Raw genomic sequence first — 27,153 nt, 5'->3', positions numbered from 1 at the left:
CCACTGTATGGTCTCGTGTTCTATTGGGGGAGAGGTGGACTGACGAATAGGTTGTGGAATTCTAGAATTCTGTCAAGGGGCCAGGCAACCTTACTGTTAGCTGGGTTCTAACCCTTTGCCAGGCATTTAACATGCCCCATCACTGGTAAACCCCAGGACTGCCTTATGAAAAAGAGATCAACTCTATTTCACAAAAGAGGCCACCCAAGGCCAGAGCAGTTAAGAATCTTCCCCAAGGGGGCCGGGCGCGGTGGCTCACGCCTGTAATCCTAGCACTTTGGGAGGCCGAGGTGGGCGGATCACGAGGTCAGGAGATCGAGACCATCCTGGCTAACATGGTGAAACCCCATCTCTACTAAAAATACAAAAAATTAGCCGGGCGTGGTGGCCCCCGCCTGTAGTCCCAGCTACTTCCGGGAGGCTGAGGCAGGAGAATCGCTTGAATCTGGGAGGCGGAGGTTGCAATGAGCCGAGATCGCGCCACTGCACTCCAGCCTGACAACAAAGCGAGACTCGGTCTCAAAAAAAAAAAAAAAAAAAAAATATCTTACCCAAGTTCCACAGCTACTGTGCAAGTGGTGGAGCTGGCTTCAGCTCCAGGCCTGCATCCCCCACCAAGGTGGCCCTGCTGTTGTCTGTCCTGCTTGCTGCAGTCCAGCCTTATCACAGGGGCTATTCAGCCTGTGCTTGTGACCCTGGGCTGAGCCGTGCAGGTGCAGAGCGCACCGTCTAGCCTCAGGGATGCCTTCCCGGCTTTGAGAGGACTGACGACTAAAGAGTGACTGTGGCTTCCAGTGGGGCCAATGATGGCGAAGCCTGGGACGGTGGTCGAGACTAGAGGCTGACAGGGAACTCAGGAGTTTAAGGATCTCAGCCAGGGGCCTTCAGAACTGCCTCTTCCTTACCCAGGGGTAGGAAGGTCCTAGGGCCCAGGTGGTGGCAGCGGCGGGGGACTGCGGTAGAGACCCTGGCCAGTGGACTTGGAGGCGCTGGCACCAGGCGGCCCTCAGAGCGGCCAGTTTCGCCACTGAATACAGGCCGGACCGAGGCTTGAGCCAAGACGGCCCACGGACGACAGGGCTTGTGCTGGACAGAGGGAGGCCAAGGCTTCTGGCCCGTACCCCCCGACGGCGACTGCACGCGGGCGCTCGGCCCACCCCGACAGGGGCTTCCAGGCGCGCAGGGCCCTGCTCCCTACTCAGGGCGGGGCGAGGACGAGGCTCTCGCTGGGCCTTGGCCTCCCAGAAAATCCCCTGGGAAGGCCCAGGCCCGGAGGTCAAGGTGGGGCACCGGGAACTGAGGCAGCTGAGGAGGGGGCAGCGGACATTTCTGGGGCCGGGGGCTCGGAACCCCATCTCTACGCCCGGGGCGCGGAGCTGGAGCAGCCGCGGTCCGCTTTGGGCGGGGGCCAAACCAGCTCCTCGGCCCCGCCCAGCCGTGCTCCGCTCCTCCCCGCCACCCCCAGCTCGCTCGGACCCCGCGTCCCCGACGGGGCGGCGGGCTGGGCCGCGCCCTCGGCCCCCCGCATTGGCCCCGCCTTCCCAAGGGCGCCCCGCTCCCAGCCCGGGCCACCCTTGGTTCCCCTCCCTCTCCCCTCCACACAGAGGCCTGTTTTCCCTTCGCTTGCCCGGGGAGGAGGGAAAATATTCCCCATTCAGAAACACCAACCGCTGGCTTCTTTCAGGGCCATCAGGGGGGCATTGGGTGGGGAGCAGGAAAGGGACTTGTGCCTCGCTCGCGCCGGGCCCCGCTCCCCGCTCCCTCCGTAGGGGACCAGACAGCAGAAGATTCTGGTTTTCTTTTATTTAGTGAAACATTCCTTTGTAAGTGAATCTTCAATGAAGACGTCCCGAGTGTGTGTGGGGGCGGAGGGGGCCGGCAGGGGAGGAAAGCGAGCAAACTGCGCTCATCCCCCTCCCCCGGGGCCTGCTCACTCCTCCCAACTGGTCCGGGCCTCCTGGCCTCCCTCCCGCGGCCTCCCAGCCAATCATTCTTCCAGGCCCCGGCCCAAGTCCCAACTTGCTCAAGAGCTCAACCTCCTCGGGGAGAAGCAGGGGTGGGAAAATTCGGGTGACCCAGAGACTGGGGAAGGCAGGGGCTGAGACCCGATCGCCCCGCCCCCGAGTCACGGCCAACCCAGCACCGGGGACGTGTACCACAACTGCAGCCTCCCAGGGGAGCCTGGGGTGGTTGCGGGGAGGGAAGGAAGCGTCCCTGTGAAGCTGCAGGGAGGGGTGGGGTCTTATTTGCCCCCCGCGCTGCTTTAGGGGAGGAGGTGCGAAGGCAAACACTGACAGGACGGGGAATTTTGAATGCTGTTCTTCTAAACCCTAGGAAGGCTCAGGGCACAGCAAGATAGTCTCAGTTGGCTGCAGAGACCCCTCCACTGACAGTCACCTCTTTTGGGTCCGAAACATTCGGAAGAGCCACTGGACGACGAAGGGCCACAGGAGGAAGAAGAGCAGCGCGGGCCCCGGGAGCCCAAGGGGCCATGGCCGAGCACTGGGCCTGGGCTGCGGCCTCTGCAGCCAAGAGGGAGGGAGTCAGAGGCCAGTCCAGGCCTCAGCACAGCCTCCCTAGGAACCTGCTTCCAATTCAGTGGAAGATTGGAAAGACCCTGCCCCTAAGTCTGCACCACTAGAAAGGAAGTGGCCCCCAGGTGGTCCTGACAGGTTGAATGCCAACTCCCTCCCACATCTTCCTCCCCAGGGCAATCCCAGTATCAAGAGAGGCTGGCGGGGCTGCGGGTAGAGGGAGCGGCTTCCATGCCATCTTCTCTGGGCCACAAAGCAATGACCCTTGGTATGACCTGAAGACCTGTGTTGTTAAGGATGTGCCACATATGTCAAATGAGGACCCTGGGTACCTAGATTTTAGTTTCCAAGTATCATTCTCCACTAAAAAGGAGCCAAGGCTCCTTGGAGAAGTGGCTGGTTCCAGGCCTGGGGCAGGGAAGGTGGGAGTGAATGTGGGGCGCCTTGTACCAGGAAAGCAAGGTCGCTTTTAAAGATTCATCAGGTCGTGTTATAAGAACATAAGATCCGGTATGAAAGGGTCTTGAATGGCCAAAGTTGTGACTGTCTGAGCATAAAAAAGAATGACTGTGGCAGACCGGGTGGGATGGCTCACGCCTGTCATCCCAGCACTTTGGGAGGCCGAGGCAGGTGGTCACGAGGTCAGGAGTTCAAGACCAGCGTGGCCAAGATGGTGAAACCCCGTCTCTACTAAAAATACAAAAAAAATTAGCCGGGCATGGTGGTGGGCGCCTGTAATCCCAGCTACTCGGGAGGCTGAGGCAGAGAATTGCTTGAACCCGGGGAGGCGGAGGTTGCAGTGAGCTGAGTTCACGCCACTTCACTCCAGTCTGACCGACAGAGTGAGACTGCATCTCAAAAAAAAAAAAAAAAAAAGAATTACTGTGGCTCCTGGGAATACTGAATCTGTGAAATCCATGAGCCCACAGTGATACTCAAGAGAAAACTGGAATTTTTGTCACCATTTAGGTGGCTTTTAAATTAATTTCTTTCTTTTTCTTTCTTTCTTTCTTTTTTTTTTTTTTTTTTTTTTTTTTTTTTGAGGAGTCTTGCTCTGTCTCCCAGGCTAGAGTGCAATGGCGTGATCTCGGCTCAGTGCAACCTCCGCCTCCTGGGTTCAAGCGATTCTCCCGCATCAGCCTCCTGAGTAGCTGGGATTACAGAAACCTGCCACCATGCCTAGCTAATTTTTGTATTTTTAGAAGACACAGGGTTTCACCATGTTGGTCAGGCTGGTCTCGAACTCCTGACCTCGGGTGATCCACCCACCTCAGCCTCCCAAAGTGCTAGGATTACAGGCGTGAGCCACCGTACCCAGCCTAAATTAATTTCTTACTTTAAAAATAGATAACTAAAGAGAAAGAATGAAGTATTTATCTTGCCTTTCCACTGTATTTCAGGGAAACCCAAGATGATGAAGGAAAGAGTATACAAATGATAGCTGATAGCTAGTAGATGTTAAAGGAATCATAGCATTTAAAAGTCAGCTTTTTTTTTTTTGGCAATTACTAAATTATTGACTCAGGCAAGGATTAGCAATTGTCAAAAACTAGCAAATGGAGTTGATGGGGGACTGGATATTCTCCGACTGCAGGAGGAAAACATGACTTTACAATGGTGGGATCAGACCCCCTTCAACCATGCCAGTGGTCCATGCTAGAGTTACTAATAATGGGACATCCAGATAGCATGTGTCCTCTGCCATGAAAAAACATCACCTCTGATGTAGTCTGGTCCAAAATGTTGTGGTTTTTTGTGCTTTGCGTTTTTTTGAGACAGGGTCTCACTCTGTCACCCAAGCTGGAGTGCAGTGACACCATCATAGTTCACTGCAGCCTCAATCTCCTGGGCTCAAGTGATCCTCCTGCTTCAGTCCACACCCAGCTAATTTTTAAACATATATTTTGTGGAGACAGGGTCTCACTATGTTACCCAGACTGGTCTCAAGCTCCTGGGCTCAAGCGATCTGCCTGCCTCAGCCTCCCAAAGTGCTGGGATTACAGGCGTGAGCCACCATGCCCAGCCCAAATGTTTAATGTGACTCTAATCAAGTGTTTAGATCTAACCTCCAGTTCACAGGAAATGTGTATCGAGGAACCACCCATGAGGATGTAATTAGACCCAAAAGGTGGAACATTCTATAGGACACCAGCCCAGACTGGTCAGCAAGTCAATAGCAAGGAGAAGGACTGGGCTAGATTAAAAGAGAATTGAAAGGGGAACAAATGCAATGTGTGGTCCTAGCCTGGAAAAACAGAGCAGCTGGAAAAGGCGGTTTCAGGATAACTGGAGAAACTGGAATTTAGATTGGATATTTGATGATATTAAGAAATTAATAATTGTGTGTAATAAAATGTTGTTTGGGCTAGGTAGAATGTTCTTATTTTGAGAGATATGGTTTTTTGTTTGTTTGTTTTTGAGATGGAGTCTTGCTCTGTAGCTCAGGCTGGAGTGCAATGGCACCATCTCAGCTCACTGCAACCTCTGCCTGCCAGTTTCAAGTGATTCTCCTGCCTCAGCCTCCTGAGTAGCTGGGATTACAGGTGCCTGCCACCTCGCCCAGCTAAGTTTTGTATTTTTAGTAGAGACGGGGTTTTGCCATGTTGGCCAGGCTGGTCTGGAACTCCTGACCTCAGGTGATCCACACGCCTTGGCCTCCCAAAGTGCTAGGATTACAGGCGTGAGCCACCACGCCCAGCCTATTTTGAGAATATGAACCCAACTCTTTCGGGGTGGAACATCATGATGTTTAGAATCTTTTTTTTTTTTTTTGAGGCAGGATCTTGCTATGTTGCCTAGGCTGGTCTCGAACTCCCAGGCTCAAGAGATCCTCCCTCCTCAGCCTCCCAAAGTGCTGGGATTACAGGTGTGAGCCACCACGCTGGCCTGTAATCTACTTTAAAATCTTCAACATTTAAAAGTAGTAAATGGTAGGAAAAAAAGAAAAGGGGGCCAGGCGTGGTGGCTCACACCTGTAATCCCAGCACTTTGGGAGGCTGAGGCAGGTGGATTACGAGGTCAAGAGATTGATACCATCCTGGGGACCGTGGTGAAACCCCGTCTCTACTAAAAATACAAAAAGTATCTGGGCATGGTGGTGCTGCCTGTAGTCCCAGCTACTCCGGAGGCTGAGGCAGGAGAATCACTTGAACCCGGGAGGCGGAGGTTGCAGTGAGCCGAGATCATGCCACTGTACTTCAGCCTGGGCGACAGAGCAAGACTCTATCTCAAAAACAAAAAACAAAAAGAAAAAAAAAAAAACAGAAGAAAAGAAAGAAAGCCCTGTTGAGGGGGAGGAGCAGTGTTGAAAAGTTAGCCATCGTGGATCTGAGGAAATCCTGCTGCTGTGGGCTCACACCTGCTGTGCTGAGTGGATTAGCGGTCACCCCAGAGATGCCTCACATCTGGGAACCCAGCCCTCTCTGCCCCCACTACCTCAGGCTTTTCAAGAACAGACCCACTCAGAGTTAATGGTGGGTACCAGCTTTGCAGGGAGACAGAATAGGGGCCACTGCCAACTCCATCGCTTAATGTTAATATTAACAGCAATAGTAGCAACAGAACCGACTGGAGAAGGCTTTCTGTTTGGTGGGCACCACTGAAGCACCAACATGCATGGTTGAATCCTCACAGTAGCTCAGAGAGGCTCTCCCAGGCTGTGTGCCCTCAGGCAAATTAGCCCCTTGGAGCTTTAGTTTCCCTCTCTAAAAGGGAGGTGAAAAGAAACTCTATCTCATAGGGCTGTTGTGTGGATTCAGTGGGAAGATGCCCATGAGTGTTTCGCACCCAGCGGGGCTCCAGCAATGGCAGCTGTTATTTAGTTTGCAGGAGCCCAGGATCCCAAGTGTCAGAGGCAAGCAGAGCTAGGAGTTGAGGAGAGGGATGCAAGGGCTGAACCATTTGGGGCAAATCCTAATTCTGGGAATGGAAGTCCTGACTGAGGGGCAATAGGGACCCGCATCCTCAATGCCCAGAGCAGACACATCATGGCCCTTCCCACACGGGATTAGTCCTGAGGCTTAGCTTCTCTCCAGGCAGAGGGAGGGGAGAACGGCAAAGGGCCCCACCCACTGTGCCTTCAGAGTAGAAGCATGTCAGCCCCCTCCACCCTCACCCCCACCTCCTGCCTGTAGCAGGAGCCATGCCATTCTCTGGAGAGAGATGTGGGCAGGTGGAGGCGTGAGGACAAAAACAAAAGTGGCTGGAAGAGGAGCCCAGAATAAAGACCGGATTCTGCCATCATCTTGTCCTATGGGGTGGGGGACTCTACCTGCTCAGGGGGCCGGGGCATGCTCTCCAGGCTCTGCACCCTCGCCTGCACCTCCTGCATGCTCTCCTGTAGTGCTCGAACTGTCCCCAGCAGCCACACGTCCAACTCCTGGGGCCCCGGCGGGCTGCCCCGCAACCCCTCTGCGGAGCACAGACACACAGGGAAGGGGGCTCAGGAGGCAATTCAGCTCTGGGCAGGGTGGGGGCAGGCTGGGGCAAGCCCAGGAAAGTGTAGGAGTGGAACCCAGTCGCTGTACCAAGTGTGATTCTTGCAAAGTCCATCTATGTAGCTGAGTAATGGGCTGCTATGGGTTTAATCCCAGCATGGCCGCTTATGACACAGATCAAGTCATTACCTTTTTTTTTTTTTTTTTAGACAGTCTTGCTCTGTTGCCCAGGCTGGAGTGCAGTGGCACAATGACCTCGGCTCACTGCAACCTCCGCCTCCTGGATTCAAGCGATTCTCCTGCCTCAGCCTCCCGAATACCTGGGATTATAGGTGCCCACCACACCCGGCTAATATTTGTATTTTTAATACAGACAGGGTTTCACCATGTTGGCCAGGCTGGTCTCAAACTCCTGACCTCAGGTGATCTGCCTGCCTTGGCCTCCCAAAGTGCTGGGATTACAGGCGTGAGCCATCGTGCCCGGCCAAAGTCATTAACTTCTCTGGGCATCATTTTGTCATCTAAAAATTAGGAGAAGATGTCATTTCTCTCACAGGGCTGCTTGCTCAGAGGAAAAAAGGAGAAACTTTTCAAAATGTCCATACAGGACCTGACACACAACAGGAGTTCTAGAAGGGAAGAGGGCAGAACTCATTGTCTTCTGAGATTTCCAAACGGGGGAGTCCAGAGAATATGGATGACTTCCTGAGGCTGTGCAGCTGTAGGTGGGAGAACTGGGCTAGGACTCCCATCCCGCTGGCCTTACTCAGGACCTGCAGAGGGTGCAGACTCCTGGGTGCCCTTTGGGGAGAGGAGGGAGGGCGGGGACTTTGCCCATCCAGGCAGGTATCTGGCTGGTTGGCAGCCCTTCCTGGACAGAGGCTTCTCGCTCAGTGCCCAGCAATGGACTTTCAACTCTGCCCTAGGAAGGCAGCCAAGAGAAAGCCTGGGGTGCCAGGACCACGGGAAAGGGCAGAAGTGGGTGAGAGGTTGGGTAGGAGCTCACCTTTCTTTGTGGGGGGCACGGGGCTGTTCCTGGGATCACGCTTTCCTCCAGATGCTGCCCGCTGCTCTGTCCAAACCTGCTGAGATGAGTCAGAGAGCTGAGGGTGGGAGTGGGAGCACAGTGGGGTGGGAAAAGGGGGGAATGGGGACTGGGCTCACCAGCTCAGGCTCCAGCTGCTCCAGGGAATCACAGAAAACCTCGGAGTCCAGGTCCCTGGGTGAATGGGACTCTGTGGAGGGGTTGGTAGAGTTACTGCCCAGAGGGAAGCTGTGGAGGGAGAGCAGGAGTGTGCACTGGGCAGAAGCACCTGTTTAGGAGACACTAGAGATACGAGGCACTAGAGATATCAACACCTGAGGCACAGATGGGCGCCAGAAGCAAGGCCCTGGAACAGGAATCCTAGACCCCGGTCCCCACCTTTGGGAGCACAGGAAGTCTCAGTGTCTGTGGAGGGCACAGCGTGGCATCCAGCCTTCTCCCCTCCAGCCCTCCCCCAGCCTGAGTTTGGTCCACCCCTCCTGCTCAAGCACTAACCTGGGCTTGGGGGTGCCGGTTCCTTGGGGAGGCAGGGAGGCTCTGAAACAGCCCCAACATCTCCATTCACAACCTGCTCTTTCCAACCTGCCAAGACACAGCACCCAGAGGTGGGCCTGGGGAGAGGCTGGCACCTCCCAGTGTGATCAAGCCCCTACTCGTGATGAGCCGTGGATGCTGCCTGGGATCCACCTCTCGGGGGCTTGGGGGCCCTAACAGGGATGTCGCCTGGAGCCCTCTGCCCCCAGCCCACCTCAGCCTAGACCTAAGACGGTTCACTCAGCACTTTTGGAGCTCCCAGCCTGGGAGTCTGACCTGTGACCCTTCTCAGGAAGGTCTCTGGGGGCCTCGGCATGTCAGGGATCACCTGGTACAGGGGCTCGAAGTAACCAAACATGTCCTCTGCCACCTCACCCAGGGGCACTGTGTCGATCACCTGTAGGGGAGGGGGTCTGTTGGGGACGGAGTGGCCTCCTGTCCCTTCCTCCCTGCTCCTGCCCTGTCACACACCTCCACCCTGTGCCCAGTCAGGGGCCAAAGATAGGCAGGGTTGGGGGTAACATGAAGGTGGTGATTCCCATGAGGGGGTCCATGTGTAGGAAACGTAGTGGGGGTCAGAACTGGAAGGGTGAGGCCACCTGGCCAGGAGCCTGGGGACAGAGAACCTGCAGCCCTTACCTTCTGTGCCACCAGTTTCATTTCAGTGATGTAGGCAGACATGGCCTCCTCCCTGCTCATCTTGCCCAGACTGTTCCAGGCGTCCCTGGGGGCAGAGGGCTGTGAGAGGGCTGCTTGACAGCTGAGGCTTGTCTGCCCAGCCAGCAGGGAGCTCACCACTTATATCGTCCAATGGGGTCCCAGAACCCGGGCCGGGGGACCAGGCAGGGCCCCATGGTGGCCTGCTTGTAGTAACTGTAGAATCGCAGCATCTCTTCATAGGAGGGGCGGTAAGAACCTGGGCAGAGAGTTGGGAAGCCAGGGCAAAGCATCACTCCCAGCTCCAAGGGGCGGAGGGGCGGGAGAACCCTGCTTGGAAAGGGCAGAGGTGGTGATGGGTCCCACCCAGGGCATCTGGACTAGGATAGGAAGCGGAGGGAACCCCCAGGACAGCCCAGGCAGGGGCTTGTCTGCAAAAACTGCAGTGATCAGGACCATTCTTTCTTCAGAGTCAGACCCCAGGCGTCCTGAATGCGAGTCCAAATGCGAGTCCCCGCAGCCTCACCGTTCTTGGGCAGGTTCTGGATGACGCTCACTGCAGCCTGGAACTGTTTCTGGCAGTCGGGCTCTGGGCTTTCTTTCTCGGTGCCCATGCTGCTGCGAGCCCTGGGGCCCTACTTTTGAGCGACTCTGCAAGAAGCAGCCTTCGTGTGAGGGGGCCTCCAGGGTCCCCCCGGCACCATAAGCCAAGGATTCACTTCCCAGAGGGGCAAACTAAGCTCTTTAGAGGCCTCAGACACCCTGGGAGGTCAGAAGTTGTGGTTGAGGAGCCTCCTTTTCCTACCTCAAGGCAGTGTGGTGGGGTCAGGGTCGCCAGGTGGCGAGGCAGGTGGCGAGGGCCTCAGTGCCAGATGTGTCCGTCCCCAGATGCGCCTCCTTTAGGTGCACATCTCCAACTCCCGAACAGGTGGAGAAACAAGATAGGAGTACTCAGGGCGGGGCGAACAGTCTCCCACCCTGGCCGCCTGCACCTTGGCCCAGCGTGTGCCCCGCGGCGCCCACTGCCAGGACACCTGGGTCCTCTCTCGCCACCACCCCGCGGCTTCCTACTGACCCCGGGGTCCAGCAGGGCCGGGATGGCGACGCAGATCGAGGGGGGGAATTTAGGCCAATGAGAGAGCCTGTTTCACATTCGGCTTACCTACCTCAACCATTCAGCACAGCTCTTTCAAGATCATGCAAATAGTTTCTCAGAGCCTTTCCCAATCAGGCGGGGCTTAATCGAAGGGTCGGACTTCCCAGCCCGGGATGGCCAAGGCGGGCGGCAGCGCCCCCTGGTGCACATAGTGAAAGGTCGTGGCGTCCTAGCGCCCCCTGGTGGAAATCCGCATCTGTTCGCTGATATCCAGGCCTGGCCGATCCGAGGCAACCCACTCAGCTCTCTAGACACTTAGGCACTGGGGATTAAAAAAAGTCATGTCCTGTGGTCAGGTGTTCTAGAGGAAGGACATCACAGCTCAGTTTTGGAAGATGGTCGGGCACGGTGGCTCATGCCTGTAATCCCAGAACTTTGGGAGGCCAAGGCGGGCGGATCACCTGAGGTCAGGAGTTCGAGACCAGCCGGGCCAACATAGTGAAACCCCATCTCTACTAAAAATACACAAATTAGCCGGGCGTGGTGGCGCGCGCCTGTAATCCCAGCTACACGGGAGGCTGAGGCAGGAGAATCGCTTGAACCCGGGAGGTGGAGATTGCAGTGAGCCAAGATTGCCCCACTGCACTCCAGCCTGGGCGAGAGTGAGACTCCATCTCAAAAAAAAAAAAAGAGTAAGCAAAATGGACATCGCAGAATGATGGTTACCAGAGGCTGGGAAGGGTACTGGGGAGGGGGGGAAATGGGTACAAAAATACAGTTAGAATGAATGAGATCCAGTGTTCGGTAGCACAATACAACGATTATAGTTACCAATAATTTATTGTATCTTTTTATTTTGTTTATTTTATTTTATTTATTTATTTTTTTGAGACGGAGTCTCACTCTCTCCCGGGCTGGAGTGCAGTGGCGTGATCTCGGCTCACTGCAATCTCCGCCTCCCGGGTTCACGCCATTCTCCTGCCTCAGCCTCCCGAGCAACTGGGATTACAGGCGCTCGCCACCACGCCCAGCTAATTTTTTGTATTTTTTAGTAGAGACGGGGTTTCACCATATTAGCCAGGATGGTCTCGATCTCCTGACCTCGTGATCCGCCGACCTCGGCCTCCCAAAGTGTTGGGATTACAGGCGTGAGCCACCGCGCCCGGCCTATTGTATCTTTTTAAATTAATTATTTTAAAAACAATTTTTGTAGAGGCAGAAGTCTCATTATGTTGCCCAGGCTGGTCTTCATTCAATACCTGGCCTCAAGTGATCATCCCACCTCTGCCTCCCAAAGTGCTGGGATTACAGGCGTGAGCCACCGCATCCGGCCAATTTATTGTATATTTCAAAATAACTGGGCGGGAAGTGGTGGCTCAGGCCTGTAGTCCCAACACTTTGGGAGGCCAAGGCAAGAGAATTGCTTTGAGGCTGCAGTGAGCTATGATCATGCCACTGCACTCCACCCTGGGCAACCAAGTAGTGAGACCTTGTCTCTAATAAACAAATAAAATACAAATACAAATAACTAAAAGCGGAATTGGAATGTTCCTAATACAAAGGAATGATAAATGCTTGAGGTGATGGTTACTTCAATTACCTTGATTTGATCATTACACATTTTATACCTGTATCAAAACATTACATGCCTCTCCATAATTCTCTGCAACTATTAAGTGTCCATAACAATTAAAAGAAATGTAGACTTAGCCTATCCAACAACAAGAATAACAAAAGGGTAAACCAGGAGAATAAGGAAGGTTGTTTCTGGAGGAAGGAACGGCAGGATCAAAAGCACAAAGGCGAATACGATAATCAAGAAGAAAATTCAGGGCCGGGCGCGGTGGCTCACGCCTGTAATCCCAGCACTTTGGGAGGCCGAGGCGGGCGGATCACGAGGTCAGGAGATCGAGACCATCCCGGCTAAAACGGTGAAACCCCGTCTCTACTAAAAATACAAAAAATTAGCCGGGCGTAGTGGCGGGCGCCTGTAGTCCCAGCTACTTGGGAGGCTGAGGCAGGAGAATGGCGTGAACCCGGGAGGCGGAGCTTGCAGTGAGCCGAGATCCCGCCACTGCACTCCAGCCTGGGCGACGGAGCGAGACTCCGTCTCAAAAAAAAAAAAAAAAAAAAAAAAAAAAAGAAAATTCAGGACCCCAGAGTGGCGTAGGGACCCAAGCCAGTGTGCAGAATCTCTGGGCCTGGGAGATCTGAGGATGGGGTAGAGCAGGGCAAGTAGGTGGCAAATCAGGCCCTGAGCACTAGCCTCTCTGTAGGATGCCACGCCGCTGGCCGCCGCAAAGTGGCGGTGTGCGCCCATGTCTCTGCCGGACCCAGGCCACCGGCCGCAGAAACGCTGCCACCTGGACGTCCCCCACTTCGCGCACGCACTCTGGTGCTTGCATATAAATAGTAAGTGCACACCCGACTCGGCCACCAGAACCTGCACACGGATGCCCACCCACGGGTTGACGTCGCGGACAACTACACCGCGGGTGCCGGGCTGGGGTGCCGGCCTGTCCAAGCCTCGAACCCAGAACCAGTTGCTGGGGACTCCAGGCTCGGCTCCGCCTCACGCTCCCCAGGTCCGTCAGCTCCGAGACTGTGGCTCTCCGAGGGGGCAGCACCTGGCCTGGCACAGGGAGGTTAATCCTATGACGTCACTGCCAACCTCCCCACCCCCATGCCCATCCCTTCGGGTTCGCGCTGCCCCGAGCGGCTCAGCTCCCGGGGTTCTGCCTTCGCTCCCGGCCCTGCGTCCTGTCCCGGCTCTGGTTCCCTGCTGAGGCCTGCGGCGCGACGGGGACGCGGAAGGGAAGGAGGAGGGGGTCCTGCGTCAGCCTCGAGTCAGGGCCCCCGGGAAGGAGAGGGTGTCTGTGCCAGAGGATGGCCCTCGTCCCCGGTGCCGGCTCCCACCCCCAGCCCCGCAGCATGGGGGCTCTAGTCACCCTTGCGGCCAAGATCAGAGGCTCGCCCGGACTAAGGGGAGACGGACTCACGAGCAGGGGCGAGCGCTGAGGCTCCGGGCTTCCAGGCCACCGCCTGGCCCCGCCCTCGCACCGCCCCGGCCCCGCCCCCTTCCCTTCCCGCCCCGCCCCGCCCCACCTCCTGCTGCCTCCTCCGACTCCCTCCCGCGCCGCTAAGTTTCTTCGCTCGCCGCCTCGCTCAGAGCCGGGGCCGGGCCAGAGCGGCGCCCCGCTGCCCTGTCCCCGCGTGCAGACCCCGGGCCCGGCCCCGGCCCCCCGCCAAGCCATGCTGTGCGGCCGCTGGAGGCGTTGCCGCCGCCCGCCCGAGGAGCCCCCGGTGGCCGCCCAGGTCGCAGCCCAAGTCGCGGCGCCGGTCGCTCTCCCGTCCCCGCCGACTCCCTCCGATGGCGGCACCAAGAGGCCCGGGCTGCGGGCGCTGAAGAAGATGGGTCAGTGACGGGCAAGGGGCGGTGGGGTGGGCGCGGACCGTTCCCAGAGGCCCAGTCTGGGGCGCTCCAGGGAGCAGTTCGTGGATTCCCCAGGCTGCACGGGGCTGGGAGGCTATGGCTAGGGGCGGAGGGCCAGCTCCCTCCAGCTGGGGGTCGCACCTGGGGTCATCCGAGGGTCCCGGGGCGAGCCGGGCGCCCAGGGTGTTCTTTGCTTCCCACCAGGGGGCGCTCGCGGGGCGTCTGAAGCGCGAATTCGGGCACGGGGCGCTGGTGGGGTCTCCAAGGAGAATGGAGCGGGAGAGGGAGGCTTGGGGTGTCCCTCGTCCGGCTCCCCAGCAGTATCTAGGTTCTGCCAGGGTGTCTCGGGGTCTTGGCAGCCCTTAGGAAGGATGCGAGTTTGCGGTCGGCCTCCGCAGAAGAGGCTGGCCTCCACAGCAGCCCTCCAAGCCGCGGCCCCACAGAGGCGGCCACAGCCACACTGCTCTGGCAGGACTGGTCTAACAGCCTACGTCCGACAGCCAAGGCTCTCACCTCAGATTTGGGGAAGTCAGTCGTGGAGAAGGAATGTAACTGTGGCTCATTGGAACATCACAGAGGCAGCTGGCACTGGGTGGGTTACACAGGTGGTGTCTTGCAATCTTCCTCGACTTCCTAGGTGGGAGGTGAATCCTCATTTCACAAGTGAGGAAACTGACTCAGAGACGGCAAGGAATTTGCCTATGACCACACAGCCAACAAAGGGCAAAGTGTGACTGGCACCCCGGTGGTGCCCCACCACATGGGCCCTGGTACCCTCTCAGAGTCTGGGAAAAGTGGGACCCGCAGGGCAGTGGAGGGCTTGAATGAGAGGGTGTGTGCGAGAATGTTGTCTGACGTGGAAAGGACCGCGCCACTGAAGTGCTGCGTTGGACCTGCCATTGGTAGAATAGTCAGTGATGGAGAGGCTAGGTGTGGAACTCCGGAACAGAAGGACAAGGCTGCCAGGGACCCCGTGTAGAACTTGGGGCAGAATTCAGGGGTCCTGATTGCCAGTTTTGCCTTCTTGTTACCTCGACTCATTCCACCTGAGCGCTGACTATGTCTGGGCGCTGTGCCTGGCACTCTGGTTACTGAGACATAGGACACCATCTCTACCCTGCCATCCATTCAACTGTGCATGCATTGGACAAGCACTTATGCGGTGCCCATGGTATGGTACTATGGTACAAGCACTTGTGGAGTGCCTATGGTATGCTCCACCCTGGGGCTCTTGCATTAGAGAGCTGAGGTTCCAGCAGGGAGATCAGACAGTGAAACAAAGGAACAGGACCTTGGGGGTGGGGGAACAGGGGGCAGCACATGAGGGGCTGGGGAGCCAGCAGGCCCTGGCTGGCCCCAGCTGAGGAAGACGGGAGTGGCAAAGGGGAGAGGCTGGGGGTGGGAGGAGCTCCTCCAGGCCCTCCCTGGAGAGTCATGGACTTTATCTGGAGGGCATCAGGAGCCCCAGAAAGGGCTTGGGCAGGAGTGAGTGTGGAGAGTGGGGGGCAGGTTGGATGAAGGCAGGGGCGAAACAGGGAGACCCAAGGAGGGAGGCTGAGGAGTTAGTTGGGCAAGGGGTGGGGACCAGACTTGGGGGACACCCAGGATGGACCCCAGAACTCCCAGGAGATAGACTGGGCTGGACTCTGTGATCGACAGGTGTCATTCTCTGGGCTAAGAAATGGTGTGGTTTGGGGATGGCTGAGGGCAGCCCTGGGAGTCAGCCCTGGCAGGGTCACGGGTGCCGCGGAAGGGCTGAGGGGAGGCCCCATGCCCATTGGCCTCTTCATCCCACACGTTTGCTGAGCGCCATTAGTGGGCCAGGGTGCTGTGCCAGGGGCTGGGGCTACAGAGATGAGTAGCACAGAGCTTTGCCCTCAGGGAGTGCACAGTTTAGTGGGCAGAGTCACATGCAGACAAATAATTACAGCTGAGCCCGGGCCTCGGTACTCATCAGCTGAGTAAGGCTGCACGGGAGCTCTGGGCACCTCATCAAGGTGACACTCTCGGGAACTACATAGATATCAGAATGTCATCTAGGTCACCCTCATTCCTCACCACTGCCCTGTCCTGCTGAGTGACTGCAGAGAGAGGAATGTTGAGTCCGAGTCTGTTGGGAATGTCCCTTCCCCAGGCCATAGGGAGTCCAGGGACAGGGTGGAGAAGGAAACCCAGTCTTGGGGCCCAGCCCCTTGGGCCATCAGAGGCCAAGGCCTAGGCCTGTCACCCAGGTAGCCTCCCCCGCCTCGCTCTGCCCCTGCCATCACCACACCCCTTAGCCTAACAGAGAATAGATTTTATATCAAATCAGGTCAAGGGACTAGGGCAGGGAGTGGCTTAGAGGGGCCTGAGGAAGGAAAATCCTTTAGGGCCACACTAGGGAGACCCAGATGAGCGGGGAAGGAGGAAGAAAACACCCCCACAGTGAGTGGGAGTCCTTTGTCCCCCCTCCAGTCCCCCGCTCCTGGGCTGGGCTGCGGACTTGCAGGGAATCATTGAAGAGAGAGGAGCGCTAGAGCCCAGTGAGCACCCGCCATGCGTGAGGCACTGTGCTGAGCTTGCATCAGACCTGATCCTGCTTAATCCTCAGGCATCCCTGTGCGGGAGGTGCTGTCCTCATGTCACATTACAGACGGGAAGCTCAAGGCGGAGGGGTGAAATCACCGCCCAAGGCCACATGCCTGCCTGCTGCCAGAGCCTAGTTTTCCATGATGGCTCCCAGTGAATACTTTTTGTTGTTGCTGTTGTTGTTAGTTGTTTATGAGACAGGGTCTCATTCTGTCACCCAGGCTGGAGTGCAGTGGCATGATCATGGCTCACTGCAACCTCAAATTCCTGACCTCAAGTGATCCTCCCACCTCAGTCTCCCAAGTAGCTGGGACTCAGGAGACTGGGAGACTGGGTACCACCACATCCAGCTAATTTTGTTTCTGTTTTTTGTAGAGTTGGGGTCTCACTGTGTTGTCCAGGCTGGTCTTGAACTCCTGGGCTAAAAGAATCCTCCTGCCTTGGATTCCCAAAGTGCTGGGATTACAGGTGTAAGCCACCATTCTTGGCTAGCCTGATGAATACTAATGAACAATTTTGTCACTGTCCCAGGCGCTTTTCGCATATTATCTCATGTAATGCTCACACTAATATGAGGTAGGTGGTACCAGTAGCCTTCTCTTACAGATGAGGAAACTAAGACTCAGAGAGATTTGGTAACTTGCCTAGGGTTCAAAGCTGGGAAGTAGCTGAGAGAAAATTTGAACCCAGGCAGTGTGGCCCAGAGTCCGTGCTTGTCACACAGTGACTGATAGAGAAGCTGATACCTGCAGGGGGCCTCCTGGCCGCTCCTCTCCCATGGGGGCCCTGCCAGCCCCCAGGAGCGTCCTCACAGGGCTGCCAAATAAAATACAGAACACCCGGTTAAGTTTGGAATTCCGCTAAATGCGGAATATGGAATGTATTTATACTAAAAAATTATTCTTTATCTGAATTTCACATTTAACGGGTGTCCTGGATTTTCTCTGGCCACCCTGTGTCCCCACAGCCCCGTGTGTGCCTGTGCCCTGATGCTCCGCCCCTGCCCCTCATCCTCCCCATGGGCAGAGGCCTGAGTGGGCAGAATCCTGCCCCCTTGCCTCCCCAGCCTACACACACTACCAAGTGCCCCTGAGCGAGAGGGCTCGGCCCATGGCCTGCCTGGGATGTCTTCCGCAGGGTGAGTGGGACTGCTGTGGGTGACTTGGCAGGTGAGGGTCTTCAGAACAACCCCCAGCCCTGGCAGGTGCCTGGCCTGGGTGGTGGGTAAGCTGGGTGGCCCTCCAGTCTAAGCAGGGGCATGCCAGGTGGGACTAGGGGGCTGGCTCTGCCAGGCCCTGTGGTCCCCCTCACATCTTTCCCTGTCCCCTACCCTGACTTCCGCACCCAACCAGGTTTCATGCCTGTTCTGGCCCCAGAGAAAAGGGTGCTGCCACCCCCACTTGCTGTGTCCCACCCGGGGCCAAGGGAAGCACCGCCTGCCTTTCCTGACTTTGTTGATTCTCCAAGGAATGTTATGGACTCTGGCACCGAGCCCCCGCCAGGCTCCAGCCCTGGGTGTGGCAGCCAGCTGGGTCACGGGGGACATGCTTGGTGCCTGAGGTGTGGAGGCTGCCTGCTGGCTAAAGGATTAGGGTGGGAGGGTCTTTGGGACCCCTCGCCATTGTGTGTCCTCTCCTAGAGCCTCACAGCCCCGGCCACCTGGAAACGCTCTTTCTCTACTCCCTGCTCGGCCTTGGCCACAGCTGCTGGCTGTAGCAGTTCCCTGCATGACTCGCATTCCTGTGGAGCCCTGTGTGCACCTCCCGAGTGCGAGCCGCCTATTTCCCCCTGGCTGGCCCACCTTCCACCCTCTCCACCCATGAACCCTGTACGCACACACACACTCACACGCACACACTCACACACATTCACTCACACTCATACACACACACTGTCTCACGCACACACACACTCCCCACCTATGCATACACCCCACACACACCCTGCCCTGCCTGCATGCCACCCCTCCGGGACACGCCTGGACAGAACTCCCACCCTCCCTGCCAGCTGCCCTGGCGCCTGTCTCCACTGCACAGCCTCTATATCCATCCCTGCCTGGGGGCGACCTGCACTATCTTCAGCACACAGGGCTTGTCCTCTCTGAGCTCAGTGGTGCACCTGTGAAAAGGGTGGGATTTGGGGCCCCTTCCAGCTCTGACATGAGGTAGTTTCTGGTCCCTGGTCTTGGCTACCCTTACAGAACTGCTCAGGCCCCAGACCATCCACGCCCCAAACCGCCCGGGCTGCAGGTGGAAGTTGAGAAACTGGGCCTGCCCTTTCCTCAGCACGCCTGACCCCTCTCTGAGGCTGAGATAAGCGGGCAGCTTGGGAAGGTGTCTGAGCCCCAGCTGACAACACTGAATTGGGCGGGAGGTGCCGCTGTCCTGGTCTGGGGAAGGTACCCCCTGGAGGCCATGGGACTAAGGGGACAGATGGATCAGAACACGTGGGTGCCTCTTTCCACCCGGGGCACTAACTCACTTCCCCAGAGCCCTGCCTCAGTTTCCTTCTTTGTGATCATTTACTGAGCACCCACTATGGGCCAGGCCTAAACCAGGCTCCATGTGCTTGTGCCTGTTGTGGCCACACACAGCCCTTTGGGGTCAGACTCCCCCAACTTCCACCACATTTCAGCCCCACCGGGTGCCGACCTGGCTGTCTGCTTCTTTAACAGCATTTTTGAGATATTCATTCACATACCTTATAATTTATCCATTGAAAGTACACAGTGCGGAGCACTTTGGGAGGCAGAGGCTGTTGAATCACTTGAGGCCAGGAGTTTGAGACCAGCCTGGGCATCATAGTGTGACCCCAACTCTACAAAAAAATTTAAAAATTATTCAGGCCTGGTAGTGCAAGTCTGTAGTCCCAGCTCCTCGGGAGGCTGAGGTAGGTGGATTGTTTGAGCCCAAGAGTTTGAGGCTGCTGCAGTGAGCCATTATTGTGCCACTGCACCCCAGCCTGGCTACAGAGCAAGACCCTGTCTCAGAAAAAAAAAAAAAGTATACAATGGTTTCCAGCATATTATATCATTAAACTTTAAAAATTATGGTAAAATAGGCCGGGTGCTGTGGCTCACGCCTGTAATCCTAGCACTTTGGGAGGCCGAGGCGAGTGGATCACTTGAAGTCAGGAGTTCGAGACCAGCCTGGCCAACATGGTGAAACCCCATCTCTACTAAAAATACAACAATTAGCCGGAAATCACTTGAACCCGGGAGGTGGGGGTTGCAGTGAGCTGAGATCGTGCCACTGCACTCCAGCCTGGGCAACAGAACGAGATGCTGTCTCAAAAAAAAAAAAAAAAAAAAAAAATAGGCTGGGCGCAGTGGCTCATGCCTGTAATCCCAGCACTTTGGGAGGCTGAGGTGGGCGGATCATGAGGTCAGGATATCAAGACCATCCTGGCTAACACGGTGAAACCCCGTCTCTACTAAAAAATACAAAAAAAATTAGCCAGGTGTGGTGGCGGGCACCTGCAGTCCTAGCTACTCAGGAGGCTGAGGCAGGAGAATGGCGTGAACCCAGGAGGCGGAGCTTGCAGTGAGCCAAGTTCGTGCTACTGCACTCCAGCCTGGGCAACAGAGCGAGACTCCATCTCAAAAAAAAAAAAAAAATATGGTAAAATATATATAATGAAATTGGCCATTGCAACCATTTTTAAGTGGTTAATTCACTGGCATTAATTACATTCACGCTGTTGTGCAACTATTACTGTTGCCTATTTCCAAAACTTTTTCATCATCCAAACAGAAACTAACCATCAAGCAATAACTCTCCATTACCTCCCCATTCCAGCCCCTGGTACCCTCCCAGCTACTTTCTGTCTCTATGAACTTGCCGCTCTGGGTACCTCACATGGGTGGAATCACATAGTATTTGTCGTTTGGGGTCTGGCTTCTTTCACTTAGCATGATGTTTTCAAGGTTCATCCATGTTGTAGCGTGCATCAGATTTCACTCCTTTACATGGCTGAATACTATTCCATTGTATCGATAAACCATATTTTGCTTATGCACTCATCTGTCTCATATGTTTTTTGTTTGTTTTGTTTTGTTTTGTTTTTTGAGACGGAGTCTCGCCATGTCTCCCAGGCTGGAGTATAGTGGCACAATCTCAGCTCGCTGCAACCTCTGCCTTCCGGGTTCAAGCATTCTCCTGCCTTAGCCTCCCTAGTAGCTGAGATTACAGGCGTGGGCCACCATGCTCGGCTGTTTTCTATTTTTAGTAGAGACGGGGTTTCACCATGTTGGTCAGGCTGGTCTCGAACTCCTGACCTCAAATGATCTGCCTGCCTCGGCCTCCCAAAGTGCTGGGATTACAGGTGTGAGCCACCATGCCCAGCTAATGTTTTATGTTTTTAGTAGAGACAGGGTTTCACCATGTTGGTTAGGCTGGTCTCGAACTCCTTGCCTCAAATGATCCACATGCCTCAGCCTCCCAAAGTGCTGGGATTGCAGGTGTGAGCCACCATGCCCGGCTGATGTTTTATATTTTAAACAGAAACAGGGTTTCACCATGTTGGTCAGGCTGGTCTTGAACTCCTGACCTCAAATGATCTGCCTGCTTCGGCCTTCCAAAGTACTGGGATTACAGGTGTGAGCCACCATGCCCAGCTAATGTTTTTTATTTTTTGTAGAGACAGGGTTTCACCATATTGGTCAGGCTGGTCTTGAACTCCTGACCTCAAATGACCCGCCTGCCTTGGCCTCCCAAAGTGCTGGGATTACAGGCTCATCTGTTGATGAGCACTCGGGTTGTTTCCACCTTTTGGCTTTCGTTTGCCCTCATTTTCACTGCTATTATTTTGTGATTGTCTCCACCCACTCAGTCACTGGCCCGGCAGCTACAGGATCAAGGCAGAGATGGTTCAAGTAGATACAAACCCCACAGGAACAGTAGGAGGTGGGCGGCTTGTGCACCTGCTCAGAGCAGGTAGGAACAAGGTCAAGGCGACATCTGTGGGCTTGGGCCTGGCAGGACCTATAAATGTCTACTGGGTGGCTGGATGGAGAGCCACGGTCCTCGCAGCATCGCTGCCCTGGCCCTGAGCCCTCCCTCTGACCTTGCCTCCTTACCTCTGTTGGCCCTGCCCTTCCTGCTGGACACCCCAGTCCTCTCACTGCCCCAGGGTTCAGAAGCACGAGCAGTGGGGACACAGAAGCACCCAACCAGGGACTCAGCACCTGGCCCCGCCTGGGACTGCACCCTCCTTCTGTTTGGCTTTTCCACTGGGTGTGTGTTTGGGGGGCAGTGCCAGTTTGCGGGGCAGCCTGGAATGTCACCCCTTCCCCCAACAGGTTCCTGGGGAGCTGAGGGTAAGGGGCCAGAAGTAGGGGCCCCCTCCATTGGGAGCCTGCCCAAGTGGGGGCCCAGTCAGGCGTTCAGGCTGCCTGTGTTGATGGCCTGTTTGCAGAAGGCTCTGGACAGAGCAGGCCCCGGTGACTCACCCCCATTTCCGGCCTTAGTCACTCATCTCCCCCACACCCATGGGCTTGGCATCAGAGGGCTGGCCTAGGTAGGGGAGGCAGCCCCAGCTGCAGAGCCTGGTTGTCATGGCAATGAGCAGTCCCCCTTCCCATGGCCAAGGGGGTGTAGGAGGATGTGCCTAAGTGTAGTGGCGCTGCAGGCTCCCCTCTGCCCTCACCGTGTCATTGCTCAGGATGGGACCATTTAGAGGCTACCTGGACCTGGTTGGGGGGGGGGTCTGGTGAGCCCCTCGGCCTGGCACGTGCCGTGTACACCCAGCTCTTTGTCTGGAAAGAGGAGGGTTCCACTTTCCCCTTCCTGACCAGGGGGTACCGAGTGGGCATTCACTCAGAGGGCCACAGTCTAGACCCTGAGGGACCCTCTGGAGCTGTTAGGGCCACAGGCTGGCCCCAAGGGGTCATGGCCTCTTAAGGAGGTGGATTTCTCCTCTTGCCCCTGAGACCCTGATTTTCAGTCATGGTCAAAGTGGGTTTTAAAAATACAGATGCCCAGGCCCCATCCCACACCAGCTGGGTGAGATGCCCTGGGCTGTGGTGTCTGCAGCCTCCCCTGGGTAATTCCGATGCACAGCTAAGGTTGAGAAACCCTGACCTGCGAGGCCTCTGCCCTGCGAGGCCTCTGTCCTGAACTCTGGACAGATGGGGCAGAGCTGGGGATAGAATTCACTTAGTCCCCCCATCTGTCCGTCTACCTGTCTGCCCCTTCAGTCAACACTAGCTGGTATCCTGGCTCTGGGATGAGCACTGTGGTGAGGAGATAAGACCTCATTCCGCCCTCAGATTTATTAAAGTATATAGGTGGGTTTTGTGTTTTATTTTAATTAAAGCAAAAAGTGCTGTTAGTGGTCAGAGAGGGAGAATGTCCACTTGAGGACAAATCAAGGAAGGGTTCCTGGAGGAGGTGATATCTGAACTGGTCCTTCAAGGACTCAGATAGGAGGAAGAGAAGGGAGAAGGATCCTACAAAAGGGTCCAAGAGAGGGTGAGAGGAGATGGTCCAGAGATATAGACTCAATTCCTTAGGTCAGAATTTGCAATTGGGCAAGCCAGGGCCTTGGGGTCACAAAGCCAAACCCAGTATTAGGGGCTTGTCGAAATAAAGGGAGGAAGAGAGGCCCTCTGTCTTACTTCTTTTGGCCCACACAGGGGTTATTGATTTTTATTTTTTTTCAATTTGATTTCGTTGTCAACATTAGAATATCTGGAGGCTTCACACACAGATCTATATTCGGTTCTCTGGAAACTCTGGGCCCTCATTCACTCCGGGCTGTGCCCCACCTCCAAAGGCCATGGACTCTCCGTTTACCCAGTTCCCACCTCCTCTATTGTCCTCTGACTCAAAAATCTTTGGTTGTGACTCTCGTTGAGGCATTGTAGAGCAGGGTGTGGCACTGTTTGGGCTGGGCATCACGTGTTCCAGGGGGCCAGAGCCAGGAGAGGGCCGAAACTCTCCGGGGCACAGTGTCGGTCACGCTGTAGAAACCTCTGAATTTTGGATTTTGCAGCAGGTATGATTGTGGTCTCCATTTTATGGATGGAGAACATGAGGCTTAGTGACAGGTTAGTGCCACTGGGGCCATGTATTAAATAACTGGGAAGTGACAGTGTTGAGACTTACTCCCCAGACTTCGGAATTTAGAAGCACTAGAAGAGCCGTGCAGTGCAGGGCCAAAGGTCAGAGGCGCTGGACCCCGACCTCCAGAGCCCAAAGTGGCTTCTACCAGTATGGAATTCTGACAACTTACTTAAGCTTCCCTGAGCCTCAGTTTCCTTGTCTATTAGTACATGAGCAGGGCCTGCACACAGGAGATGCTTTTATTTATTTATTTTTTAGAGACAGAGTCTCACTCTGTTGCCCAAGCTGGAGTGCAGTGGCGCAATCTTGGCTCACTGCAACCTCCGCCTCCCGGATTCAAGTGATTCTCATGCCTCAGCCTCCCATGCCTGGAGATCAGCTGGGCAGGGCTGATCCTGGAGTCCTTGGCCTGTGACCCTGGAGCCAGGGTGGCCTCTGCTGTCCTCCTTGTCTTTGGGAAAGCAGAGGCAAGGTGCTTGGGTTACAGCAAGAGAGATCTAGGTTAGATGGTGAGACCTTCCTGATGGCTACGGTTTCACATCAAGGGAAAAAGGCTGTTGGTGGCAAATTCTGGACTTGAAGGCTGGAAGCCATGTGGTGGGGGATAGTGGCAGAAAAGGCAATTTTTTTTTTTTTTTGTTAAGACGCAGTCTCACTCTGTCGCTTAGGCTGCAGTGCAGTGGCACAATCTTGGCTCATGGCAACCTCAGCCTCCTAAGTAGCTGGGATTACAGGCATGTGCCACCACACCCAGCTAATTTTGTATTTTTAGTAGAGGTGGGGTTGCACCATGTTGGCCAGGCTGGTCTCGAACTCCCGACCTCAAGTGATCCACCCACCTCGGCCTCCCAAGTGCTGAGATTATAGGCGTGAGCCACCGCGCCCTGCCAGAAAGGGCAACCTTTAGTGAGGCCTGAGTCCCAGGCATTGTCCGAGGGCAGTTCCACACTGAGGGACTGCAGAGGCCGCTGCTTGGAAGGAAGGAGGGAGATGGGGTACGGGTTGGGGGGCGTTTAGGGCTCCAAAGCCTAAAGCCAAACCCAGTGCAGGAGGCTTCTTACAATCGGGGAGGAGGGGAGTCCTGTGAGGGGGAGGGAAGCTTACTGTGGGATGAAGGCCTGGGTTTGGAGAGGCTGGAGGATGGGGCAGCAGGTCCTAGCGGGGGAGGGCAGGGGAGCCTCTGGGCAGGTACGGCCTGACGCCCCGGGTCCTCCCGCCCCGCCAGGCCTGACGGAGGACGAGGACGTGCGCGCCATGCTGCGGGGCTCCCGGCTCCGCAAGATCCGCTCGCGCACGTGGCACAAGGAGCGGCTGTACCGGCTGCAGGAGGACGGCCTGAGCGTGTGGTTCCAGCGGCGCATCCCGCGTGCGCCATCGCAGCACATCTGTGAGAGGCCGGGGAGCGCCGGGCGGACAGGGAGGTGGGGACAGGCCCGGTCCTCCGCCCTGACCCGGCCCTCCTCTCAGTCTTCGTGCAGCACATCGAGGCGGTCCGCGAGGGCCACCAGTCCGAGGGCCTGCGGCGCTTCGGGGGTGCCTTCGCGCCAGCGCGCTGCCTCACCATCGCCTTCAAGGGCCGCCGCAAGAACCTGGACCTGGCGGCGCCCACGGCTGAGGAAGCGCAGCGCTGGGTGCGCGGTCTGACCAAGCTCCGCGCGCGCCTGGACGCCATGAGCCAGCGCGAGCGGCTAGACCAATATCCTGCCGGGGCTGGGAGGGAGGGCCCCATCCTTGGAGAGCCCTAACCTTGGAGAGCCCCATCCTTGGAGAGCCCCCACGCCCAGGGAAGGCAGGGCCCTGTCCTGAGGGCGCACGGTCTGGGTCGGAGCCCTTGGTCTTCGAAACTGAGGGTGGGGACACGCGCCCTGGCTAGGCCCAAGCTCCCACCAGGAGGGGTGGCGCGGCGCCTCCTTCAGGGAGGCCTGAGGCCTTCTGAGGGTGAAGACAGGGCCTCCTGTCTTTGGTAAGCCCCAGTCCTGCGGAGGAGACACTGCTACCGTGCTCGGGGAGTGCACAGGCCAAGGGGAAAGTACAGCCCCTAAACTGGGGATCCCCCAGACCCAGGTGGGGGTGACTTACCAGCCAGTTACCTGAGGGCTGGGGGCAGCCTGGCGTGTTGCTGTTATTTCCTGAGCACCCACACCTGGATCCACTCCTATCTGCACCGGGCTGACTCCAACCAGGACAGCAAGATGAGCTTCAAGGAGATCAAGAGCCTGCTGAGAATGGTCAACGTGGACATGAACGACATGTACGCCTACCTCCTCTTCAAGGTGGGCTTCCGCCCTGAACCCCAGCCCCTGGCTCTGCCATCACTCTGACCTCTGCCTGCCCCCAGCCATCTGAATCATCAGCTCCCCTGCCCTCTCCACCTGCAGCTTTTTTGGAGCGAGCAGCCTTTCCCTGCACAAAGGCAACATCTGGGGTTAGTTAGCCTTTTGCCTCCCCTGAGGCCACTGGGCCAGGAAGGGAGTGGGGAGCCGGGGCCCAGAACTTTCCTCATCCTCAGTTCCTACCCCTCCAAAGTGAGCAGCAAAGCTGTTTTCATTTCCCTGAGTCTGCAAGGCACCTTTTGCACGTGGGGGCACAGGCAGGAGCCAGCCTACAGGTGTGCATGTGCACGGATACACGTGTGCACCCTTCTCCACGCAGACCCTCCACTGTGGCACGTGTTGGCACCTCATGCATGGGAGCACAGGGGCACACAGGAGTGGGCTCTGCAGCTATGGCCCAGCTGGAGCCCATGGCAGACCTCTGTGTGCATGTGGATGGTGGGACCCACCTGTGACCCCGAAAGACAGGAGAGCCCATGGCAGCTGGACCCCTGGGCCACAGCTTCACAGGGATGCTCCATGAATTCTCATTGACTTGTTCAATGATGCTGGGTGTGAATATGTGCATGTCAGGATAGTAACGTGTCCACCTAGGGGAGTGTGAGGGCCCAAGGGCCCTGTCTTGGCCCAGGGTCACCATTTTTCCTTCCACATCTTGATTCCTGGGGTAGGTCATGGTGCAGAGGGGCAGGCACTGAACCAGAGAGACCTTTTAAGTCCAGCCCTGCCGGCCAGGCTCAGTGGCTCACCCCTGTCATCCCAGCACTTTGAGAGGCCTAGGCGGGAGGATTGCTTGAAGCCAGGAGTTTGAGATCAGCTTGGGCAACACAGCAAGACCCCATCTCTACAAAAAATACAAAAATTAGCCAGGTGCAGTGGTGCACACCAGTGGTCCCAGCTGTCCAGCTATTTGGAAGGCTGAGGTGGGAGGATCACTTGAGATCACGCGTTGGAAGCTGCAGTGAGCTATGATCATGCCACTGCGCTCCAGCCTGGGTAACAGAGCAAGACCAAACAAACAAACAAACCTAAAAAACAAACCAAAAAATCCTGCCCTGTAATTTACCAGCTGTGTGAGCTAGAGTCACAAGTCTTACTCTGTTTTTCCACCTGTGAAATGGGGACCATTGCCTTCTCAGATGTGGTAGATGACAGATGGGTCAAAGGGGCCAGGTTTCCTGGAGTGTCTGCCTCCTCTGAGCTTCTCCTGCTGCTCCCCAGGAGTGTGACCACTCCAACAACGACCGTCTAGAGGGGGCTGAGATCGAGGAGTTCCTGCGGCGGCTGCTGAAGCGGCCGGAGCTGGAGGAGATCTTCCATCAGTACTCGGGCGAGGACCGCGTGCTGAGTGCCCCTGAGCTGCTGGAGTTCCTGGAGGACCAGGGCGAGGAGGGCGCCACACTGGCCCGCGCCCAGCAGCTCATTCAGACCTATGAGCTCAACGAGACAGGTG

At 56.3% G+C, this 27,153-nt stretch overlaps 2 protein-coding genes across 40 annotated transcripts in view, besides 9 other annotated features; one reads left to right on the top strand and one right to left on the bottom strand.

Moving 5' to 3' along the window:
• Positions 125-845: an enhancer, noted in NCBI's record as "H3K27ac-H3K4me1 hESC enhancer chr17:43222487-43223207 (GRCh37/hg19 assembly coordinates)". NCBI's record gives its function as "activates a minimal SCP1, AML or CMV promoter by ChIP-STARR-seq in naive H9 embryonic stem cells {active_cell/tissue: H9 hESC(naive)}" and the evidence as "EXISTENCE:reporter gene assay evidence [ECO:0000049][PMID:30033119]".
• Positions 1,403-1,642: a silencer, noted in NCBI's record as "silent region_8611". NCBI's record gives its function as "represses an Ori minimal core promoter by ATAC-STARR-seq in GM12878 lymphoblastoid cells {active_cell/tissue: GM12878}" and the evidence as "EXISTENCE:reporter gene assay evidence [ECO:0000049][PMID:35858748]".
• Positions 1,403-2,289: a biological region, named in NCBI's record as "H3K27ac-H3K4me1 hESC enhancer GRCh37_chr17:43221043-43221764".
• Positions 1,568-2,289: an enhancer, noted in NCBI's record as "H3K27ac-H3K4me1 hESC enhancer chr17:43221043-43221764 (GRCh37/hg19 assembly coordinates)". NCBI's record gives its function as "activates a minimal SCP1, AML or CMV promoter by ChIP-STARR-seq in naive H9 embryonic stem cells {active_cell/tissue: H9 hESC(naive)}" and the evidence as "EXISTENCE:reporter gene assay evidence [ECO:0000049][PMID:30033119]".
• On the bottom strand, positions 1,789-14,368 carry ACBD4 (acyl-CoA binding domain containing 4). Of its 37 annotated transcripts, none has more exons than XM_047436765.1 (12): positions 14,249-14,368; positions 10,373-10,624; positions 10,012-10,123; positions 9,733-9,857; positions 9,345-9,465; positions 9,189-9,273; positions 8,826-8,946; positions 8,511-8,597; positions 8,135-8,205; positions 7,977-8,052; positions 6,805-6,944; positions 1,789-2,522 (listed from the first exon to the last, which is right to left on the bottom strand). In XM_047436765.1, exons 4-12 carry the CDS (start codon positions 9,818-9,820, stop codon positions 2,394-2,396), a joined length of 918 nt encoding a protein of 305 aa, XP_047292721.1. In that variant the 5' UTR covers positions 9,821-9,857; positions 10,012-10,123; positions 10,373-10,624; positions 14,249-14,368; the 3' UTR covers positions 1,789-2,393. The 37 variants fall into 37 exon arrangements, with proteins under 37 accessions (XP_047292721.1, XP_016880581.1, XP_047292719.1 ...); XM_017025092.3 differs by lacking the exon at positions 14,249-14,368 and adding an exon at positions 12,764-13,346; XM_047436763.1 differs by lacking the exon at positions 14,249-14,368 and adding exons at positions 12,764-12,934; positions 13,302-13,346 and having other exon boundaries at positions 10,012-10,624.
• Positions 2,290-3,012: an enhancer, noted in NCBI's record as "H3K27ac-H3K4me1 hESC enhancer chr17:43220320-43221042 (GRCh37/hg19 assembly coordinates)". NCBI's record gives its function as "activates a minimal SCP1, AML or CMV promoter by ChIP-STARR-seq in naive H9 embryonic stem cells {active_cell/tissue: H9 hESC(naive)}" and the evidence as "EXISTENCE:reporter gene assay evidence [ECO:0000049][PMID:30033119]".
• Positions 12,657-12,726: an enhancer, noted in NCBI's record as "active region_12274". NCBI's record gives its function as "activates an Ori minimal core promoter by ATAC-STARR-seq in GM12878 lymphoblastoid cells {active_cell/tissue: GM12878}" and the evidence as "EXISTENCE:reporter gene assay evidence [ECO:0000049][PMID:35858748]".
• Positions 13,197-13,416: a silencer, noted in NCBI's record as "silent region_8610". NCBI's record gives its function as "represses an Ori minimal core promoter by ATAC-STARR-seq in GM12878 lymphoblastoid cells {active_cell/tissue: GM12878}" and the evidence as "EXISTENCE:reporter gene assay evidence [ECO:0000049][PMID:35858748]".
• The window catches only part of PLCD3 (phospholipase C delta 3), a 23,557-nt gene continuing 9,853 nt past the window's right edge, over positions 13,450-27,153 (top strand). For all 3 annotated transcript variants that reach the window (NM_133373.5, XM_024450554.2, XM_011524253.4), the window contains exons 1-5: positions 13,450-13,717; positions 24,593-24,754; positions 24,835-25,063; positions 25,511-25,640; positions 26,922-27,150. In NM_133373.5, the coding sequence (NP_588614.1) occupies positions 13,555-13,717; positions 24,593-24,754; positions 24,835-25,063; positions 25,511-25,640; positions 26,922-27,150 (913 nt within the window). In that variant the 5' untranslated portion in view covers positions 13,450-13,554. The remainder of the gene's footprint in view (positions 13,718-24,592; positions 24,755-24,834; positions 25,064-25,510; positions 25,641-26,921; positions 27,151-27,153) is intronic.
• Positions 13,517-13,646: a silencer, noted in NCBI's record as "silent region_8609". NCBI's record gives its function as "represses an Ori minimal core promoter by ATAC-STARR-seq in GM12878 lymphoblastoid cells {active_cell/tissue: GM12878}" and the evidence as "EXISTENCE:reporter gene assay evidence [ECO:0000049][PMID:35858748]".
• Positions 24,659-25,196: an enhancer, noted in NCBI's record as "H3K27ac-H3K4me1 hESC enhancer chr17:43198136-43198673 (GRCh37/hg19 assembly coordinates)". NCBI's record gives its function as "activates a minimal SCP1, AML or CMV promoter by ChIP-STARR-seq in naive H9 embryonic stem cells {active_cell/tissue: H9 hESC(naive)}" and the evidence as "EXISTENCE:reporter gene assay evidence [ECO:0000049][PMID:30033119]".

This window comes from Homo sapiens, chromosome 17 (assembly GCF_000001405.40).
Source record: "Homo sapiens chromosome 17, GRCh38.p14 Primary Assembly".
Lineage (NCBI taxonomy): Eukaryota > Metazoa > Chordata > Mammalia > Primates > Hominidae > Homo > Homo sapiens.
Note: the sequence above shows the minus strand (reverse complement) of the source record. Positions and strands in the feature narration are given on the sequence as shown.